Source organism: Homo sapiens, chromosome 6, assembly GCF_000001405.40.
Source record: "Homo sapiens chromosome 6, GRCh38.p14 Primary Assembly".
Classification (NCBI taxonomy): domain Eukaryota; kingdom Metazoa; phylum Chordata; class Mammalia; order Primates; family Hominidae; genus Homo; species Homo sapiens.
Window position 1 is genome coordinate 11,689,366 of NC_000006.12, and position 21,647 is coordinate 11,711,012.

The window sequence follows — 21,647 nt, forward strand, 5'->3', positions numbered from 1 at the left end:
TCCTCAAAGACCTGAAAAACAGAAATACCATTGGACCCAGCAATCCCATTACTGGGTAGATACCCAAAGAAATAGAAATCATTCTATTCTAAGGACACATGCACAAGTATGTTCACTGCAGCACTATTCACAACAGCAAAGACATGGAATCAGCCTAAATGCTCATCACTGATAGACTGGGAAGAAAATGAGGTACATATACACCATGGAATACTATGCAGCCGTAAAAAAAGAACAAGCTCATGTCCTTTGCAGGGACATGGAAGGAGCTGGAAGCCATTATCCTCAGCAAACTAACTCAGGAACAGAAGATCAAATACCACATGTTTTCACTTATAAGTGGGAGCTAAATGATAACACATGGACACAAAGAGGGGAACAGCAGACACTGAGGCCTATTGGAGGGTGGAGGCTGAGAGAAGGGAAAAGATCAGGAAAAATAACTAATGGGTACTAGGCTTAATACCTGGGTAATGAAAATGTGTACAACAAACCCCCATAATGTGTGTTTATCTACGTAACAAACCTGTACATGTACCCCTGAACTTAGAAGTTAAAAAAACAAATAAATATAAACAGCAATTGTGTTGTAGATTCAGGTAGTTCTCTCTGACATCACACAGCTCCTGTGCTTTGTTGATATTGAGTTCCAGAACTCAAAAACAGCCTTCAGTAGCCGGCATAGGCTCATTAGTCATCATTTCCTATCTTTACTCTTCCTTTCTTGTTTTCCGTCAGAACCTATACCATGAATTGTCAGGTCATTTACTTTAACAAATGTTTATATATTTACCTTTGAAAAGAGCACTGTCAAAAATCTTAATTTCAAGTTCCCACTCAGTTACTTAACTGTATGGCTACAACCAAATCACCCAACTTCTCAGAGGCTTATTTTTTCCTCTGTAAAACTGGAAAATTTATACTGGATCTGCTACTCTGATGAGATAAAGTGGGAGGTGCTTGTTATTTTTTGGTAAGTGTGGTGGGCAAAATTCAAAGATGGGCCCTGAGATTCCCAACCCCTGGTATATGCCCTATGTAATCTTTTCCCTTTGAATTTGGGTGAGACCTTAAGTGAATATGATGGAATATCACTCCTGTGATTTGGCAGGTAATCAATCAGCTGACTAAGAGTTAAGCAAGAGGGAGAAAATCCCAGGTGGGCCTGACCTAATGAAGGGAACACTTAGAAAGGAACTGGACTTTATTTGACAAAAGACATGAAACCAGAGAGATACTCCTGTATCTCTGAGGAAGGAAACAGCCTTCTTGTGAATTACCTACCGAGGGGTGCACCTGTGAATGAGGGACGGGTCTGAGTGTGGAGCTGAGAGTAGTCTCCAGCTGAGAGCTGGCAAGAAAGTGGGAACCTCAGACATGAAGCTGAGCATGAATAAACTCTACTACCACTTTATAGAGCTTGGAAACAGACTCTTCCCCAGTCAAGCCTCCAGATGAGAATATAGCCCTGCTGAGGCTGTGCTGGAATTCTGTCTCATGGGAATTGTGAGATAATAAATTTGTGTTGTAAGCTGCTAAGTTTGTGGTAATTTATTATGCAGCAATATAAAACTAATACACTGGGTGCAGTGGTGTGTGCCTCTAGTCTCAGCTACTTAGGAAGCTGAAGCAGGTGTATCAGTTGAGCCCAGGAGTTGGAGGCCAGCCAGGGAGACATAGCAAGACCCCATCTCAGATAAATAAATAAATAAATAAATAAATACAACTTAAAATATGCACAATGGCCTAAAAATAAACAAATAGAAAACTAATATAATTATCCAGTACTGTACTCCAAGAAGTGAGGGGTAAAGAAAGTATATATTCTTTCTTCTCACCTTGCAGCACCTAGAGGACAGATTTCTCCAATAAGATGTGCCCACCTAGAACTATGAATCTGGAAGGAGGAACATCCAGACCCAGAGACCAGTCACAGTGGCAGCAGTGGCAGATGCTAGTGGTGCTGGAGGTTGGGATAGCTTTCAGGCCAGATGTGACCATGGCATGACTTTGTGCCGCACAGGGCCAGGTTCCCTTAGTTCCTGAGTGTTCTCTGTGCTCTAGGGCTCACATAAGTTCTGTGGACTATTCATCATTTTCCCAATACATTTATTTCTGCTGCAATTAATCAGACTTGGCTTCTCTTGTTTGACTCCAAGAACTTGGATTATTATGGACCATATATGTAAGAGTGCCTTGTAAACTGTGACAAATACTATACTATAAATGTAATGCACTATTTTAGTTGTTTCTCTGCTCTCGTTTTCCTTTAGGCTCATATGTATGACCTTAGACCCTCTCTGAGCTGTTATAATTCTTGGTGTCATCCTGCATGCTGATATTCCCATAAATAAGTGTACCTTTATTCCAATAAATACATGAACATAACGTGAATCTATGTAAAAATGAAAGGCTTATTGACAGATCAGAAAAGTGAGAACATTTAAGGACTCAAAGTAGAGACTGTTTCCTGAAGGGCTTGTTTAGGTTTAACATATTGCTTTCAGCTGAACTTAAAGGTCAAACAAAGCAACATCTGTTTCTGTCTTAAACCATTGAGAAAACAAATGTCTGCTACTATGAGTGTCTCCAGGGAAGAGGTCTCCTTGACCATTCTTCAGAATGAACTGGAGTCTCAGGAGTATGTATTCTGATGGGTTCAGATTCACATCTTCACTCACCAGGAACCAGAACAGAGGTCTCTATGTATCTTTCCAGACCTCTTACAAATTCCTATTATGAAAGGTGCAGAACAGTGAATAAGCACAATGAAAAGTTTCATCTTTGAAACTTAATTGCAAAGCACAGTTAAAAGCCAGACAAAACAAAAACCACTGTGTTCATCAGAGCCATCTCAGGAGCCTTGCAGGTAGTGGGGGAAAGAAGGGGCGAAGCTTTGGCAAGTAACTACACTCAATCATTGCAGCTATGCTCTGAGATTTGCATGTTGAGGTTTTGAGGCTCTAAAAACTTTGAGAGTACCTGCTGGCAGAGCTATTTGTTTTGATTGTCTAAACCCAGGACCATTGGGTAAATTTACGTATGGCCACTGTGGCTCTGCAAGGCAAAAGACTATAACGATGACTTTCTCCAGTCACTACATTTGCATCTAGTCTCCAGCAAGGGGAAATAAGTTTTTTGCCTCTGATCCCTGGGAGGAGAGCTCCAGTGAAGCAGAAGGCTGAGGTTCAGTCAGAGAACATGCATTTTCTGAAGCACAGGGAAAGAAGTAGGAAAAAGAGGTATTAGAATGGCATGTGGTGCTTTGCTGAATAGCTTCCCCAGGACAACGATATGAGGACTTCATTTAAGTTCCCAAATACAGAAAAATGCTGTCAACACAACCTCAGTAGAGAAAGCTGCAAAAGTTAATAAATACAGCAACTTCGGCTAGCAGTTTACTTGTAGCACTTGGAACAGAAACGATGAATGCACCAGAAAGTCAGCTGTCACGTGGTGGTGGGAGGTGCAGAGTGCATTGGTAGTAAAAGCTGCTGCTGCAAGGAGAGGCAGAGCAAGGCCAACTGACCTCATGGGTATCAGAGCCACACTGGAGAGGACTCCCCTGGGAGCTATCCCTGGCCTGCCTATGCCATGGAGGAAACTGTTGCTCTGATGTTCCCTAAGTTGATTTAACTCTAATGGTATATCCTTCAACACAGAGGGCAGAGTGTGGCCAGGGGACTTGGTAGTCTTGGAGTCCTATGTCATCTATGTGGTCTGATATGGTTTGGCTCTTTGTCCCCACCCAAATCTCATGTTGAATGTAATCCACATGTGTTGGGGAAGTGGCCTTGTGGGAGGTGATTGAGTCATGGGGGCTGACTTCCCTCCTGTTGTTCCCTTGATAGAGGTCTCATGAGATCTAGTTGTTTGATAAGTGTCTGGCACTTCCCCCTTCTCTATGTCTCTCCTGCTGCAATGTAAGATGTGCTTTCTTCCCCTTTGCCTTCCACCATGATCATACATTTCCTGAAGCCTCCTACCCATGCTTCCTGTTAAGCCTGTGGAACTGTGAGTCAATTAAACCACTTTTCTTTATAAATTACCCAGTCTCAAGCAGTTCTTTATATCAGTGTGAAAAGGCATTTGAGACTTTTATTTCAGAGGCACAGGCTTGGCTGGAAATAAGGATGGTGTACCACTTGATGCAGCAGAATCCACCTGGCAGTCAGCTCCTTTTGGCTGATACGAGGCCAGAAAATCTGTGCCTGTGTCCCTTCAGTCTGCATTTATGAACATGGGCTGTGATTGAGTGAGACCTTGTAACTGTTAAATTCCCTGTAGACATGGTGCCTCCAGTGAAGGATAGTATAATTTCAGAATTTCAAGGCTCAAAAGATAATAAAGCAGAGCTAAACAAAGCTTAAATTGTATCTCCTGGTTCATATACAAATGAATATGGCTATGAGTGAGTCACTGGATGTTTAGAAAAATTGATCACCGATTTATACACATTGTTCACTTTATTCACATTACTGGAAAATCAGAGCTGCAACATTTAAACTAAAAGGCTTAAAGTTATATGAGAGAACAAGGGACACTGATATTTGGAATTTCTTTGACTTACTGCTGGAACCCAATGTGATCAAGACATCTTTAATGGGCATTCTAATTGGTTGCTTTGGCCAAAGTTTTGGTGTGACCGAGAGAGGGGGGATGATGAAGCCTAGTTAGGAGCTCTCCTACCTACCAGGGAGTAACAACTTGTCCCGGAGGGAAATATGAACAAGAACCATGTAACAGACCAAGGTCAATAGCAGTGGCAGCTCTGTATTGAGCATTTATTCAGTGTCAACTACTGTGCTGGGCTCACCTTCACAACGAGACAGTATTACCATCATCATTTTACCAGTTAACAGTTACCTACATAAGGCCACACCGTTCATAAGTGGTCGAATGATAATGATGATGATATTAACAATCATCATGAGAACTTACCTGGCATTGTGCTTTTCTGTTTACAGAAGGAATTTAAATAAATAATTGCATTTGATCCTTATAGTATGTTGGTGTTGCTATTATTATTTTCATTCTTTGTGTGGAAAAACTTGGACTGAAAATTGCCTTCAAAAGTAGCACATATTAAAACAGTAAGTCAAAATTCTTTCTTTATATCCATTGAAAGTATACCAACTTTCAGCTGTGTGACATTAAGCAAGTTATTTAACTTATTTAAGCCTTGTTTTCCTTGTATTGACTACTCAAGAGTACAAAGAATGAATGCAATGATTGTCTTAAATTGTTTGGTGGTGTTGGGGTTCAATAAATATTAGCCATTTTAATATTATTATTTTGAGAGTTTCAGATTTTCTTGGAAATTTTCCATGGGACTTATTTTACAAAACCATCAAAAGGACTTTTTAATAAGGTGCTCATATCCTTGAAACAGTATCCTAGTGTAACCAAGGACAAACTGGATGGAAGATGTATTGTTTACTTACATCTTTTTCTTAAAGAATATTATATTTTCTCCTCAATATATTGATTCAAGAAATGCATAGTTAATGCCTCCTCTGTGTCCTTTATTGTGCAAGACATTGAAGATAAGCCAATAAACCAAACCCGGTCCCTGTTTTCAAAGAGCTTTCACTCCAATGGAGCAGCCATTTATATGGATAATACCAACACACTGGTGAGTGCATTTCAGTGCAGGTGCTTCACTTCTAGGTATTTCCTCAAGAGAAGAGAAAACATATATCCAGTAAAGGCCTTGTATAGGAATATTCATAAAACCTTTATTAATAATGAATCAAACTGAAATTGACCCAAATGTCTAAAAAGAAGAAAATGGATTAACAGATTGTGATGTATCCATACATACTAAAGCAATACAAATGATGAAACATGGATGCAAAGATATGAATGAGTCTTTAAAACATCATGCCTATACCAACGTAAAGAAGCCAGACTATGTGCATCCTATACAACTTATATGAAATTCTATAATGACATTAATCTATGCTGAAAGGAATCAGAACAGAAGTTGCCTGGACTTGGAGGTGAAACAGGGATTTACCAGGAGGTGGCATGGGAGCTTTCTGGAGTGATGAAAGTGTTTTATATCTTGACAAGGAGAAAGGGACATGGCATAGGATACACAGGTGTATGCATTTGTCAAAACTCATCAGACTGAGCACATGAGATCTATGTATTTCACTGTATGTAAATCCTATCTTAATTTAAAAATTTCTAAGTATTTTTTGTTTTTACACTATTGTAAATTGTATTTTTGGACATTTTATTTTCCAAATCTTTGCTATTAATATGAAGCAACACAATTGATTTTTGTATATGAACCTTGCATCTTCAGACAGACAGTGATAAATTCACTAATTATTTCTAGTAATCAGTTTTTAAAAATATAACTCTTTTGGATTCTGCATGGTAGACCTCCTTCAGTCTTTCATTTCTCTTAGCTATTCCCTCATGTTTTCCATCTTTTGTCTCTCTGTGCTACACTTAAAATAATTTCTTTTAATATTTTAGTTCTCTCTAGTTTTGGCCTTTCTTCTCTCAAACTCATCTATTAGGTTTTTTATTTCTATATTTGTATTTATTTTATTCATTTATTTATTTATTGAGACAGAGTTTCATGCTTGTTGCCCAGGCTGGAGTACAACAGCACAATTTTGGCTCATCTCTGCCTCCAGGGTTCAAGCAAATCTCCTGCTTTACCCTCCCAAGTAGCTAGGATTATAAGCATGCACCACCATGCTTGCCTAATTTTTGTATTTTTAGTAGAGATGGGGTTTCGCCATGTTGGTCAGGCTGGTCTCAAAAGTCCTGACTTCAGGCGATTCACCCACCTTGGCCTCCTGAAGTGTTGGGATTACAGGCATGAGCCACTGCTCCTGGCCTGTATTTGTATTTGTATTTCTAGAAATTTTACTTGGTTATTTTTCATACCTGCTAGGTCACTTTTTTTTTTTTTTTTTTACAATTTCCTGTTTGCTGCAAATATTTTCTATCTTTACTTCTTTAAACATAGCTATTTTGTAGCTTGCATCTAATTGTTCCTATACCTGAAGTCTTTCAGGGTCTGTTTATGTCATCTATTATTGCTGCTGTTTCTTTCTCATCATAACTTACTTTCGTGTGGCTTGGTTACCATGAACTAGGCACTGCTCATTGTCTAGAAGACATGATTTCTGGTAATTCCTGTGACTTGGGTGAAGGTATCCTTCTCCAAATAGTTTTGCCTTTGTTTCTATGAGACATTTAGGAGCACTGCCTCTCTGTGACCAATTTATATTAAAGTTATGGCTTGAAGTTTTCTGGTCCACCCTTGGGTTTCAAATTTAGGCTAACAATTCTCAGAAGCTAATCTCTAGACAGGCTACTCACGGACAGGTTATGTGTTGTTTTTGTTTTTCTCCTTTATTTAGCACTAAGACACTGCTATCTTAGGACTTTTTTTAAACAGGAGGAATGGGTAATTTTTACTTCCTGAAGGTTTTACCTTTGGGATTCTAGGTTAATGTAAGTGGGGAGTCTGATATTAACATTCCAATTTGGGTGGGCTCTAGGCTTTTGACTTCTGTCCCCCTTATTTTGTGAGGTCTTCAAAACTGGAGCACAGTTCTCTGTATGTTCTTAGGACAAAAGGCTTTGTTTGGCTGTGTCCCCCCTGAAATCTCATATGATATGGTTTGGCTGTGTCCCCACCCAAATCTCATCTTGAATTCCCACCTGTTGTGGGAGGTAATTGAATCATGGGGGCAGGTCTTTCCTGTGCTGTTTGCGTGATAGTGAATAAGTCTCACGAGATCTGATGATTATATAAGGGGGAGTTTCCCTGCATAAGCTCTCTTCTCTTGTCTGCTGCCATGTGAGGCATATCTTTCACCTTATACCGTGATTTTGAGGCATCCCCAGCCACGTGGGACTCAGAGTCTATTAAACCTTTTTTTCTTCCCAGTCTCGGGTATGTCTTTATCAACCATGTGAAAACGGACTAATACAGTTTCTCTTCTGGGTTCCTGGAATCTCTTAGATCTTGGTCTGGTAATTCATTATTGTCTTGTCAGTTTCTTGATGCTTTAAAGGATACTAGAAAATTATTGTATTCATTATTTTTAGTTGATTTTAGCAGGAGAGTTGACCAAAGTGGCCTAGCTCTTTATTATTAGAAATGGAAGAAAATAAAATTTGGAATTTGTATGGTCTTTCATCATTTCTAAGTATAAAAGTAATCCCCCAAGTTGATAAGTTTCAGTATGTAAATTTTTTTAAAAAAATCTGCATGGCAAAAAAGAAAATAAAGAAAAAAAAGAAAGAAAATAAATCACAAAGAGGACTAATAGACATTCAACAAGCAAGAAAAAGCATTTAAAATTCTAATCAAGAAACTCAAGCTCAGGAGAAAGAGACCGATTTTCTTTCTTTTTAAAAAGTTTACCATTTTATTTATTTAATTCATTCATTCTTAGAGATGAAGTCTCACTCTGTTGCCCAGGCTGCACTTGACCTCCTGGGCTCAAGTGATCCTCCTGCCTCAGCCTCCCAAGTAGATAGGACTACAGGCACTCATCATTGCACTTGACTTAGCTTTCTTAATATATCAAAAACTCTATATTATTATCAAACTATATCATTATCAACTCTATATTATCAACTTACACTATTTTATCAAGTCTTAAATATTGCCTTAAAACTTAATATCCTAGGGCAACAAATACTTATAATCTCAAAATTCCTGTGGGTCAGGAATCTGGGAGCATATTAACTGAGTGATTCCAGCTCAGGGTCTCTCAGGATGTTGCAGTGGAGACATCAGTCAGGGCTGGGTCTTTCTAAGGCTTACCCGAGGCTGAAGGACCCTGGCTAAGGTCATTCATGAAACTCTCAAAAGAGCCTCTGCTTCTCACCACGTGGTCTTCTTTATCCAGGGCTGCTCAAGACCTGGCTACTGGTGTCCCCCAGAGCAAGTGAGATTGAGAGAGCCACCAAGACAGAAGCTGATTATCTTTTATGCGCTAATCTTGGGAATGGCATACCATCTCTTCTGCCATATTTTATTGGTCACACAGAGCAACTGTGGTACGATGTGGGAGGGGGAGTGTGTCAGGGTGTGGATATCAGGAGATGGAGTCATCTGGGGCCATCTTGGAAGCTGCCTGCCACAAACTCCTACAGTTCAATAAGACAAGCAAAAAACAAACCCCAAGCAGAAAAATGAACAAGAGATATAAGGAGACACGTATAACTAAATCCATGTATAGTAAAGATAAGGACAAAGGTGTATCTTTATGTTAAAATACATCATAAACATCAAAAGATGCTTGACCTCGCTCAAATTAAGAATAATGTAACTTAAAACTGTATTGGGGCACCATTTCTACCCATAAGATTGGTAAAGATAAAACACAAAGTTCTAACTCACGGTATAGTTGAGAATTTGGGGAAACAGAGCCTCATATTTTGTCAGCGAGCGTAGACTTTGGTAAAACCTCTATGAAGAATAATTTGGCAATAACTATCAAAAGTAAAAATATACATATCCTTTGATCCAATAATTTCACTTCTAGGAATTTATTCTAAGTATATTCTGGCACACGTGCAAAAATGATGTCTGCAAGAAGATATTTATTGCAGCATTGACTTGTAATAGTAAAAGATTGGAAACCATCTGAATTTCTATCAATAGAGAATTGATTAAATAAATTATGGTAATATACATACATATAATAGAATTCTATGCATCTCTTGAAAAAGAATGAAGCAGCCCTCTTTACACTGATTTAGGATTTTCTCCAACAGGTACTGAAAGATGTAAAAGCAAGGCACTGAACTGCGTGTCATCATTTGTGAGAAAAATACATACATGCTTGCATGTGAACCGAATATCTCTACAAGTATATCCAAAGGGTTGATACTTGTAGCTGTTTTGTAGAAGGGAACCAGGTGTGTACGGTGTAGGAGTGTGAGGGAGACTTACCTGTTATGCATTTGTTATTGTATATGTTGAATTCTATACTATGTACATGTATCAACCACTCAAAAATAACTTAAAAATACATTTCTAAAAAGCATACCATAAGCCTGGGCAACGTAGGGAGTACCCTGTCTCTACAAAAAATTTAAAAATTAGCCTCTTATGGTGGCACATCCCTGTAGTCCCAGCTACTGAGGAGGCTGAGGCGAGAGGATTGTTTGAGCCCAGGAGGTCGAGGCTGCAGTGAGCTGTGATTGTGCCACTGCATTCCAGTCTGGGTGATAGAGAGAGACCCTGTCTCAATAAAAAATAAAAAATAAAAATAAAAATAAAATAAAATAAAATAAATAAAAGGATATAGTAATGACCTGAAATTTAGGTGCCCTGATCTAAGTTGGCATCAATAGAAATAAAGAGAAGTAGAGCTGGCAGGACATGATGAATCATTGGATTGGACAGTGGGAGAAGGAAGAGTTCAACTTGATGATCCACTTCTTGCTACAGGCACCCGAGTAGATGGAAGATAGGGAACCTAGGAGAATACCTCTGATAAGAAAACTTATGTATTTGATAAAATGATTAAAGTTTATAGAAAAAAATACATTTTTAAAAAGTCAAGGCTGTTCTTTTTTATACTCTACTATAAGCTTCTTGCAACTAGATGTTATATTATAAATTTTCTTATAGCTCTTACAGTACTTAGAATGGTGTCTTACTTGTTATAGATGCCCCATAAATATTTGTTAGATGAGTGTCTGAAAATCAAATTTCTAAAACACTGTTTTATCTTTTCAGAAGGTGGATTAACTATTTGCCTAAATGCAAAGTGTGAGCATCAAAGAGGTTGAAAATGTAATATCTCATTATGTCTTTACTCAAGGGTGAGGAGAAAAGATGAAGAACAGTGGAGAAAAGTGGAGAAAAGATGAAGTTTATGCAGCAAATTGCTAACTGGAACAAGGTATAGAATTTTCAAAACACAAGATAATTAGTTTTACTATCTCTTAAAAAAAAGAAGAGTCCATTTAGCCACCAGAGGGCTCTCATCTTCCCATTTAATAACAGGCCTAGACCCAAACATGAGATAATGTAAACATGCAGTTGAAAACCAGAAGAGAATATATATATATATATATATATATATATATATATGTTCAACTGCATTTTTTCATTTTATATTTTGTATATATAAAATACACACATATATAGGTATTTCCTTTCCTCCCCATGAAATGTATACTACAATTGTAAAAACATCCTGCCAAGCCTTCTTATCACAACATAAGAAGATAGAAATTCATCAAATGTGCTTGAAATACTCTATCTCCAAATATCAAGGAGGGCCTCCTTGTATTTTGTTAATTGCAAAATGAGGCCAGGCGCTGAGGCTTACGCCTATAATTCCAACAATTTGGGAGGCCGAGGAGGGTGGATCACCTGAGGTCAGGAGTTTGAAACCAGCCTGGCCAACATGGCGAAATCCCGTTTCTATTAAAAATACAAAAATTAGCCAGGTGTGGTGGCGAGTGCCTTTAATCCCAGCTACTCGGGAGGCTGAGGCATGAGAATTGCTTGAACCCAGGAGGTAGAGATTGCAGTGAGCCGAGATCACGCCACTGCACTCCAGCCAGGGTGACAGAGCAATAGTCCATCTCAAATAATAATAATAATAATAATAATAATAATAATAATAATAACAATAATAAAACAAAAAAGCAAAATGAATTTGTCTCTAGGGCTCTGTAAGGCCACGACTGCTTAGGAGGCATTCCTATACACCAGTGGGAAGAAGGAGGGCGCTGCAATGGACTGCTTTTCCTTTGTGTAAGCCTCCTGAAATTGGGTTATGTGTTGAAATGTTAATGCTTTGCATAGACTTAGAGGGTTCTAAAATCTAGGATTTCTAGACTCCATGGCATTTACAATATTTCATTGCCTTCCTTTATTTTTATTGTGTTGGGACTTCAAGTTGGGGAATGGGTGCTGGAACATGTGATTTGGGACCCTCTTGTTGATGCTGTGAAGCCATGCGGACAGTAAGGGAGCTTCCCTTCCATGAACGCCTTCTGCATCCTAGTCCTGCCATCAGGTCCCCTTCCATGAACGCCATCTGCATCCTAGTGCTGCCATCAGCTCCCCTTGCATGAACGCCTTCTGCATCCTAGTCCTGTCATCAACTCCCCTTCCGTGAATGCCGTCTGCATCGTAGTGCTGCCATCAGCTCCTCTATACTATGATTTCACACTACCTCTCCCAGGTGTTCAAATTATGACCCATAAGTAGCCTCCACTGGATTAGTAGAGGCTTTTAGTTAAGAGAACAGAGAAAGAAACGGGTATTTATTGGATGCTAACACTGGGCAGAATGTCCTCAGCCTATTATTATTATCAACATCATCATCCTTCTTCTCAGTAGCACTAACACAAAGCAGGTATTGCGTTCCTCCTCTATATATGAGGAAACCTAGCTCTGAAAGGTTGAATGAGTCACCCAAGATGGCAAATGCTGTGGAAATGGGACTAACCGAATTTAGAGTATCTGTAAAGCTTATGTTCTTTCACTCTGACGCTTTAGTATCCCCGCGATGTGAACATATACTTTGGGCTTTCTTTGTCCCTGGGATACCACCAGCTGTCTATGGCATTCAGGGGTCTCTGGGGCCATAGCTTGTAGGTGGAGCTTTGAGGCAGCATGTCCGATGGCTGTGCAATGTCCACTGAGAATGTGGCTTAATGGTGGTTGCAGTAACACGACAGGGGCCCCTCTACATGTGTGGTAGGAAGGGAAGGATAGTGCCTCCTCAACCCTTCATCCTTCACAGGAGGAAGACATGGTGGCCCACAGCTGAGAGAACGCATGCTCAGGGATTTTCCCTGACTGCTCCTTGCCTTAAGCAATGTCATATGAACAGGCTGGTGGCATAGGGTTGGTTGTGAAATCTGTAGCCATGCAGGACAGTGGCCTTCAGTAGCTTGTTCAGGAGGCCACGCCCCAGACCACCATCTGGTAGGCACCACTAGCCATATGAGACCATGTGCCAAATGCAGACCTGTGCAGAGCAGACGGGGAGCCCTGTAGCCTGGCCTCTGAGACAGAGCCTGTGGAACACCAAGTCCCCTCACTGTCATGCGTGGAATAGTCTCCAACATGAATTTTCAAAGAAACACTCATACAGACAGAGTTTTCTTTCTGAAATCTGCTCCATGAATGGCTTCATCCTAGGGAGGAGAGACTGTTGTTTCCTTGATGGGATGATGTGGGATTTGGGGAGACTCTTGAATGAAAAGAGGAGAGTTTGGCAAGCAGAAGCGGAAGGATTATTATAGGCCTATGAGTCACAGACACTGCAGGCAAACGACGCAGAGAGTGGAGGGTGGGAGGATCCAGAGAAAGGAGGTGAGGCCAGGGGAGCCAAGGAAGAGTGTAGCAGTCAGGGATCTCCAGAGAAGCTGGATCAATGGGATGTGTATGTACCTAGAAAGAGATTTATTTTAAGGGCTTGGTTCCCGTGATGATGGAGGCTGGCAAGTCCCAAATTATCAGGGCAGGCCAGCAGGCTGGAGACCCAGGAGAGAGCCAGGCCACAGTTCAAGTCCAAAGGTCATTTGTTGGCACAATTCCCACAAGGTGCCTCCCTGGCTCCAGTAGTCTGGGCTCTTGCTAAGGAAGTGCACTGAGGTCCCAGGGAGACAGGAGACAGCTCCACCAGAAAGCTTTGCAGGGGCATCTGAGCCGTTCCCAGAGCCTGGCTCCACACTCCACCCCAAAGTCACCTCTGCTATTGCACCCAAAGGGACCAGGCAGTTGGTCATGCCATAAAATGTGCTGAGCACTTGCATGGCTGGGCAGTGGCTTTGCAAGGAAGCTTGGAACAAAGGCAGTGGCTCTCTCAGATGATGTTCAAAACAACCTGAAGACCTCAGCTGCTGCCATAGGCAAGGAAAATGGACAAGAATTCCCATACGTCAGGGATCCAGGCAGCCTTCAACCTTGGCTGCACATGGGAATGACCTGGAAGTGCTTTTAAGATTCCCAATGCCCAATCTGCAGCCCAGACCAATTCAGAAGCTCTGGAGGAGACATCTGGGCAAAAGTACTTTTAGAAGGTCCCCAGGCGACTCCGAATCTGCAGGCGAGGCTGAATGGCTCTGCCATATACTCTTAGCAGCAATTTGTATTTCCCCTTTCCCTTTGAGGTCCCCTTCTGTCCATTTACCCACTTGCATGCCTGTTAAGGCTCGGGCTCAGGAAAGAGGGTGTTTCCACCATAACACCCATGCCCCTGAGCCTGCATCCTTCCCACAGTGCCTCAGAAGATTTGAAATGAAAATATTTAATGTTTTGACCTTGAGGAGACAGAAGGAAGGGCTGATGTTCCAGACATTGTGAAGGGAACAGAAGCAGGATTTGGTAGAAGTTGTGTGGTTTAATGGAAAGGGGGTAGGTGTCAGAGCCAGCCAGAATGAGCTCTGTGCTGTCACTGGGTAATTCTTTGTTGGAAAAATCTGTCAACCTTACTGAGCTTCAGTTTCTTTTTCCTTAATATTGAGAGAATGATGCCTGTCTCTCTGAGCATGGTGAGGCCTAGAGATAATGAATTGCAAATGCCTGTCCTGTAGTGGGCACTCAACAGATGGTATAAATTACGGGTGACTCCTTGAACCAGGAAAGACACGTGAGAAGTGTTAAAAGCTGGAATTTAACATCTCAATCCCCTCATTTGTCAAATAGGAATAATGTATTGGGTTGAATATGGTCTCACCCCTTTCACCCCCAATACGCACGTCCACCTAAAACCTCCGAATGTGACCGTATTTGGAAATATGGTCTTTACAGATGTGATTAGTTTAGGATCCTGAAATAAATGATACTAGACTTACAGTAGACTCTAAATCTGTGACTAGCATCCTTATAAGAGAAAGGACAGGGAGATTTGAATACAGATTCCAGATTCTCTGTAAGGTAAGAGGTGCAGAGACACACAGGGAAGAATGCCATGTGGAAACAGGCAGATATTGGAGTGATGTGGCCACAAACCAAGGATTAGTGGGAGCCACCAGGATGAAAGATTCTTCCTCAGAGGCTTCAGAGGAAGCATAGTAATCCTGACACCTTGATTTCAGACTGCTGGCTAGCAGAACTGTGAGAGGATACATTTCTATTTTATTTATTTATTTATTTATTTATTTATTTATTGACACAGTCTAGTTCTGTCACCCAGGCTGGAGTCTAGTGGCACGATCTTGGCTCACTGCAATTTTCAATCCCTACTGCCCAGGTTCAAGCGATTCTCCTGCCTCAGCCTCCCGAGTAGCTGGGATTACAGGCGCCCGCCACCATGCCCAGCTAATTTTTGTAGTTTTAGTAGAGACGGTACAAGGGGTTTCACTGTGTTGTCCAGGCTGGTCTCGAACTCCTGACCTCGTGAGCCACCCACCTTAGCCTCCCAAAGTGCTGGGATTACAGGCAGGAGCCACCATGCCCGGCCACATTTCTATCATTTTTAAGCCACCTGGTTTGTGATACTTGGCTATAGTAGCTCCAGGAAACTAAAACAGATAATAATAGTAACTATACTACTTCTACGTTATTGTAACTAAAATAAATTTATATTGCAAATATAACTAAATTTAGTAATAGTGAAATTTTAGCTAAATGTGAATTGGGATTATTTAGATGCTAGGTAAGCAGTCTAGGGCGATGATTTCTGTGCTAGGAACAAAGGCCACTGGTGCTTGGAGGGCCTTTCAAGTGTGACTGTGTGAGGGATACAGTGAAATGGCAAGAGTTGAGTTTAGGAAGGGACAAGGTGAGATGCAATAAGTCAACACCAAAGAGTGCCCTCTCGGGCACCTCCACTCACCAACCAGGGAAGAGCAGCTGGTTATCCTTTGATCTCTATCTCACAAGCACCTCATGCACAAATAGCTTAGCATCTTCTTGGCTGTCATCTTGGGGATCCCCCTTAAAGTTATACTTTCAATCCCATTCCCAATAAGCGACCACAGAACCACGATTCATGCAGCCGCGGCATTTTCGTTAAGCCCTAGAATGAATGGGTAAGTTTCCCTTTGTCATTGTGTATATAGTCATGCAAATAATCCGTGTCTTCCATGCTTGGGGTCTAAAATGGTTCCCAAGTGGACTTAGATATGTTCCTCTGTGAATTGGCAGGGCATTTTGGAATGGTTCTTTCCTTCCCCTTGATTTGAGGATTACATGGAAATCCACATTGCTGAGTGGGAAAACTCTGAATTGGTGTCCAGCAGTTCTTTTGGCCTCTTCCTCTTAGTTTGGTGATATGTGACGGCAATAAAAGGTCATGATGGCAGGATGAGTCTGGAAAAGGAGAAATACTGGCAGTGATACTGCAATCTATTTTGCAAGAAAGAGAATTTTATTTAACCACATGATTTTAAAAATTGGCAAAGTTGCCGGGTGCAGTGCCTCACGCCTGTAACCCCAGCACTTTGGGAGGCCAGGGTGGGTGGATTCATCTGAGGTCAGGAGCTCGAAACCAGCCTGACCAACATGGTGAAACCCCATCTGTACTAAAAATACAAAATTAGCTGGGCATGGTGGCACACGCCTGTAATCCCAGCGACTCGGGAGGCTGAGGCAGGAGAATCACTTGAACCCAGGAGGCGGAGGTTGCAGTAAGCCGAGATTGTGCCATTGCACTCCAGCCTGGGCAAGAAGAGTGAAACTCCATCTCAAAAAAAAAAAAAAAAAATTGGCAAAGTTCAGTTAATGTATATATATAAAATGACAACATAAGTGCATTTTAGAATGTAGCTAGAAAAATTTTAATAAGGAATAAAACATGTCTAGATGGGAGTCTTCAGAATCACGTACCAGATTCCTGGCAAGGTATTGTAAAAGTCATACAGTACATGTTTTCCTAACTCTATGTCATCTAACTTCATTATTAGAATCTTAATAAAATTTAGTGTTGAGTGAAAACAAATCCCTAAAGTGTAACCAAATATATTTGCTCAGGCCAGACTTAAGCCTCAGCGGAAGGTTTTGTAAGCTCTTACGGTGGAAGGGATCTTTTTCTTCTTCCTGTTAGCATCTCAGAGGAGCTGAGTCTAGCAGAGCAGCTGCTAACAGAGGAAGCTGGGAAAGCCAGGCTTGGCGTCCCAAAGGAGCGGCAAGATGAAAGCATGCAATCCTCCATACAGGCCTGCAAATGCCAGGTGGATGACCACCATGTCCTTACACTCAGGCCATGGCATGCATATGGCCAGGGACATACATTTAGTAGGCACTGTATAATGAATGAACGAACCCTACAGTGTGGTGGAGTGCAGTGTTGTCCAACTTACTGAACTAAGTTGAACCCTATCCATTAATTTCTTATTGGATTAAGAAATTCATTATTTTTTAATAACACTATTATTGGATTAAGACATCAATTTCATGGTCACGACATATTTTAATGGAATAGGAAACAATATCCTAGAAAATAAAGGGGTATGTCACCCATATTAAAAGCAAGTATGAGTTTATGAAACTTTTCACACAAGTGTGTGTGTTATGAGTGTGTGTGTTTCTACTGGATTATGATGTAAAATGTATTTCTGAGGGTATCACTTAAGAAAGATTGAGCACTGTTGGTGGAGTGGAAACTATTTGAGGCATTTGGGTCAGATAGATCTTGATTTGAATTCCAATGCCACTGTCAGACACTGAGCGTGTTACTTAAATCCATCTGAGCATCACATATGCATTTAAAGTCAACCATATGGTACGCACTGTGCTCAATGAGGGAGATACAGTGGTGAGTAGGACATACTCCTGTCCTCAAAGAAACACAAAATATGCCCTTAATAAGTGTCCACCTCTCTTCAGCACTTCAGTATCTCTGTGACTGGTTGGTAAGACAGATGTCTGGATAAAAAGAGATCTTGGAGAATCTCAATACTGCTTGAGGTTCTTCAGGAGCCCAGGAATCCTAATTTTTTCTTTGCTCTGTCTTCTTTCTTCTTAAGCATGGCAACAACTCATAGGTAGGAAAAGCTGTCATACTCATGCATTTTGAGGGAAATTTGAGAAATATCAATACCCAAAGCTTCTACATGGAGCCATTCATGTTATCCAGTCTTTGTTTCCAGAATCATCGTAGGACCCTGATGAGAGTAGCACCAACTCTCCAACATAAATTCGAGAAAATGAAAAAGTGGCATTGAATATCTACACGGAACTTCAGAAATACAACACACACACACACACACACACACACACTCATACACACAAACTCATGAGCAATCATAGTAATTTGAACAACAACAAAAACCATGATGTTGAAATTTGGAGGATGTAGAACCTAAGAGTCTAAGAAAGATTAATTTATGCTACCAACAAACACACGTTTAAATTGTGGGAAAAAAGCATGGTGGCAACGCAACACTACTCTCTCAAGACACAAAGCAGGTCAGACGTGGTGGCTCACGCATGTAATCTCAGCACTTTGGGAGGCTGAGGCAAGCAGATTGCTTGAGGCCAGCAGTTCAAGACCAGCCTGGCCAACATGGTGAAAACCCGTCTCTACTAAAAATACAAAAACTATCTGGGCATGATGGCACATGCCTGTAATTCCATCCTCTTGGGAGGCTGAAGCATGAGAATTGCTTGAACCTGGGAGGCAGAGGTTGCAGTGAGCCGAGATTGCACCACTGCACTCCAGCTTGGGTGATAGAATGAGACTCCGGCTCAAAAAATAAATAAATAAAAGACATAAAGCAAGTTTAAATTCCTGTAGTGCCAGCCAGATAATCAAGGCTGGAAACAGAGTGGCACATCACAGCTCTGTCCCCTCTGTCCACCCCTCCAAGGGCACGCAGAATTTAGTTGACCTACCAGCTGCCAAAATCATGGGCCAACTTCATTTTGGGGTGCTCTACCCACCAAGTAGCTCTCTCAGGGAGGGGTGCAGAACAATCATAACCTGCATCTATTGGCAGCTCACACGGTGAAAAATTATGAACTAGGCAAGTTTTGTCCTTGGAGTCTGCAGCTGACCCTTCCGCACCTGTTCCTTTACTAACAATATCCTCATTTTCGCTCTGCCAAGCACGCCCTCCCTCACATTAAAACTTGCTTTCAAATCATCAGATATCCTTCACTGAGAATTGAACATGCATGAGTTTCATAGGTCACTTCTTTCAGAAGTATTTACATGTTAAATCTGGCTCTCCATATGAAATGGGCGGCTTTATTGGTGAAAGAATTTTTTTGTACATTAGCAAGATATTTAGGGTGGCAGTGAGAACAGAGGCCCTTTTCATGGCCCCGAAATAACTACACCATGCAAGAGGCTGACGACATCATGGTAACGATGATGTGCTAGTCAGACTAGACTGGGCCTTAATGATAAACACTTGCCATCCGTCAGGAAGGGGTGAGAAGTCACCTAAGGTGAAATGAATTATGATGTAAACAAGGTTTGTCTTCAACATCCCCCCACCTCCTGTTTAAGGATCAGTCTTCCGGACTGGGACCCTAGTAGCTCATAGGCTCTCCTTTGAGTCATTAGGGCCATCTAGTCATCCACTCTAGAGCTTCCCTGCACGCAAGCCATTTATCCTCCAGGCCACTCCTCATCTCCTTCTCCTTTTCATCAAATGTATCTGCTATGCGTCCTATTCTATCAATGTTCATTCACTACCAGTCCACATGAAACTGCAATTTGCTCGTCACTGTAAATAGAATTGTGGTATGTAAGATGGAGAGAGTATCTGAAATGAAACAATAACTCTAATGTTGAGACTATCAGCTTCCAGGGAAGCCTAGGGTGGAAGATAACTGGTGATGATGCCTGTAAGGTTAAGAAGCTATAAGGAATCCTCAAGTCCGCCTGTATTTTTGAGTACTTTCTAATGGTGCAGAGTTAGGCTTTGTTGGAGATATAAAGAGGTAGACACGGCCCCTCATCCCGGGAGTTTGCAATCAAGCAGGTGGGATGGTGAATTAGGCCATTCTTGCATTGCTATAAAGAAATACCTGAAGCTGGGTAATTTATAAAGAAAAGAGGTTTGATTGGCTCACAGTTCTGCAGGCTTTACAGGAAGAATGGTGCTGGCATCTCCTGGGCTTCTGGGGAGGCCTCAGGAAGCTTACAATCACGGCAGAAGGTGAAGGGGGAGCAGGCACGTTATATAGTGAGAACAGGAGCAAGAGAGATGGGAGGAGGAGGGGCCACACACTTTTAGACAACCAGATCTCGCCAGAACTCACTATGGCGAGGCCAGCCCCAAGAAGATGGCATTAAATCATTCATGAGAAATCCACTCCCATGATCCAAACACCTCCCACCAGGCCCCACCTCCAACACTGGGTATCATGATTCAACACGAGATTTCGAGGAAACAACACCCAAACTATATCAGACGGAGATCTTGGGAGCCAGGCACTTGCATCCACCACTTTAAATAATCTTATTATTTAATTGTGGTGGTATCATTATCTAACTTTGCAGACAAGGAACCAAGGCTCAGAGGAGTAAACTATTTTTATCCAAGGTGAGTCTCTCTCCAAGGGGCTGACTAGTGCCTCTCTTAGGACAGTAGCAAGTTGGAATAAAATCTGGCATGCCTAAGGTCTTTAAGGAACAGGGGATGCTTACTTCTTTTGCGTTCCTCTGGCGGCCTACATAGCATACTTAAGCTCCTTCTGGATAGACTGTGTCCTCTTATTCACATGCTGAAGTTGTTATATATTTTTAAACAAATAAAAAGTGAATAATACATTTTTCTAAAAAGTAACTGATTTTCTCTAGGTTCCATACAGATAGCCAGCCATGGGAGTCAGAATTTGAACTCAGATCTGGTCTGGTTCTGAAGCCTCTCTTCTTTCCAGCTGTGAGACAAAGGAGCAAATATGAGAAGCACCTTTTGCTCACTTCTGCTTGCCAGCAGAATTTCACAAAAGCCCTGGACTGTGAAGATGTTTGGAAAGATGCTTTGAAGACAAAACCTTTAACAGGGTTAGTGTTTATGCCTCTGTAATCTACAACCGGATGCGCTCTTACACCCAAGCCTTGATGGGATTCTGCTGCGACGGAAATTCTGAGCAAATTTGATGTGATTGTGCAGGTACTGAACCTCCACTTCCTGTCTGTAAGCAGTGGGCTGAAATCCTGGGCTGGAGCAGTCTCATAGGATCTGACAGGCTGTTGCCAGGCTGTAGGCCTTGGTCTGTAGTCCTCAGTAAGACTTCTGAATACAACTAACTTTAATTCTTTAAAAGCTTGACTGTTTTCTTTAGTCGGCATGGCATTCCATACCATTCCAGAAACAGAAGCCAGGAGGATACGTGAAGGAGAGAGCAATGGCATAGTGTGTGAAGCTGATTAGCTGTTAACTAGCAGAACTGAGAGAAGGCAGCCGGCCAAATGCCCCGGAGGGGCAAGGAAAAGCTTTTTCAGAGAGTTGGGAAGTGGCACTCCAGTGAGGTCGGAAGCCATGAAGGTTGACTTATTTATTCCACAGTAGCTACAAGAAGAGGGGTCTTTCTAGGGAGTGTGACCAGTTTAAGCAAAGGCTTGGGAGGAGGAATAATAACGTGCTGGAAGTGGGAAAGGGGACCTGGTTAAGGGGCTGAAAGTTATTCCTTGTGGATCACCTTCTCATCACACGCTCTTTGACCTCATTGTAGTTCAATGGAGGGAAAGAGAGTCAAAAGCAGGAGGGAAGTTTGTTTCTAAGCG

The 21,647-nt window shown here is 41.5% G+C and overlaps 1 long non-coding RNA gene and 1 other non-coding gene across 2 annotated transcripts; both read left to right on the forward strand.

Moving 5' to 3' along the window:
* The first annotated feature begins 891 nt into the window (after positions 1 to 891).
* Positions 892 to 21,034, forward strand: LOC340184 (uncharacterized). The gene is made up of 3 exons (XR_001743973.2): positions 892 to 973; positions 10,818 to 10,898; positions 20,718 to 21,034. It is a non-coding gene; the product is annotated as an uncharacterized LOC340184 (long non-coding RNA).
* Positions 20,454 to 20,595, forward strand: LOC124900221 (small nucleolar RNA SNORA67). Its single transcript, XR_007059947.1, has one exon. It is a non-coding gene; the product is annotated as a small nucleolar RNA SNORA67 (small nucleolar RNA).
* Positions 21,035 to 21,647: the final 613 nt, after the last annotated feature.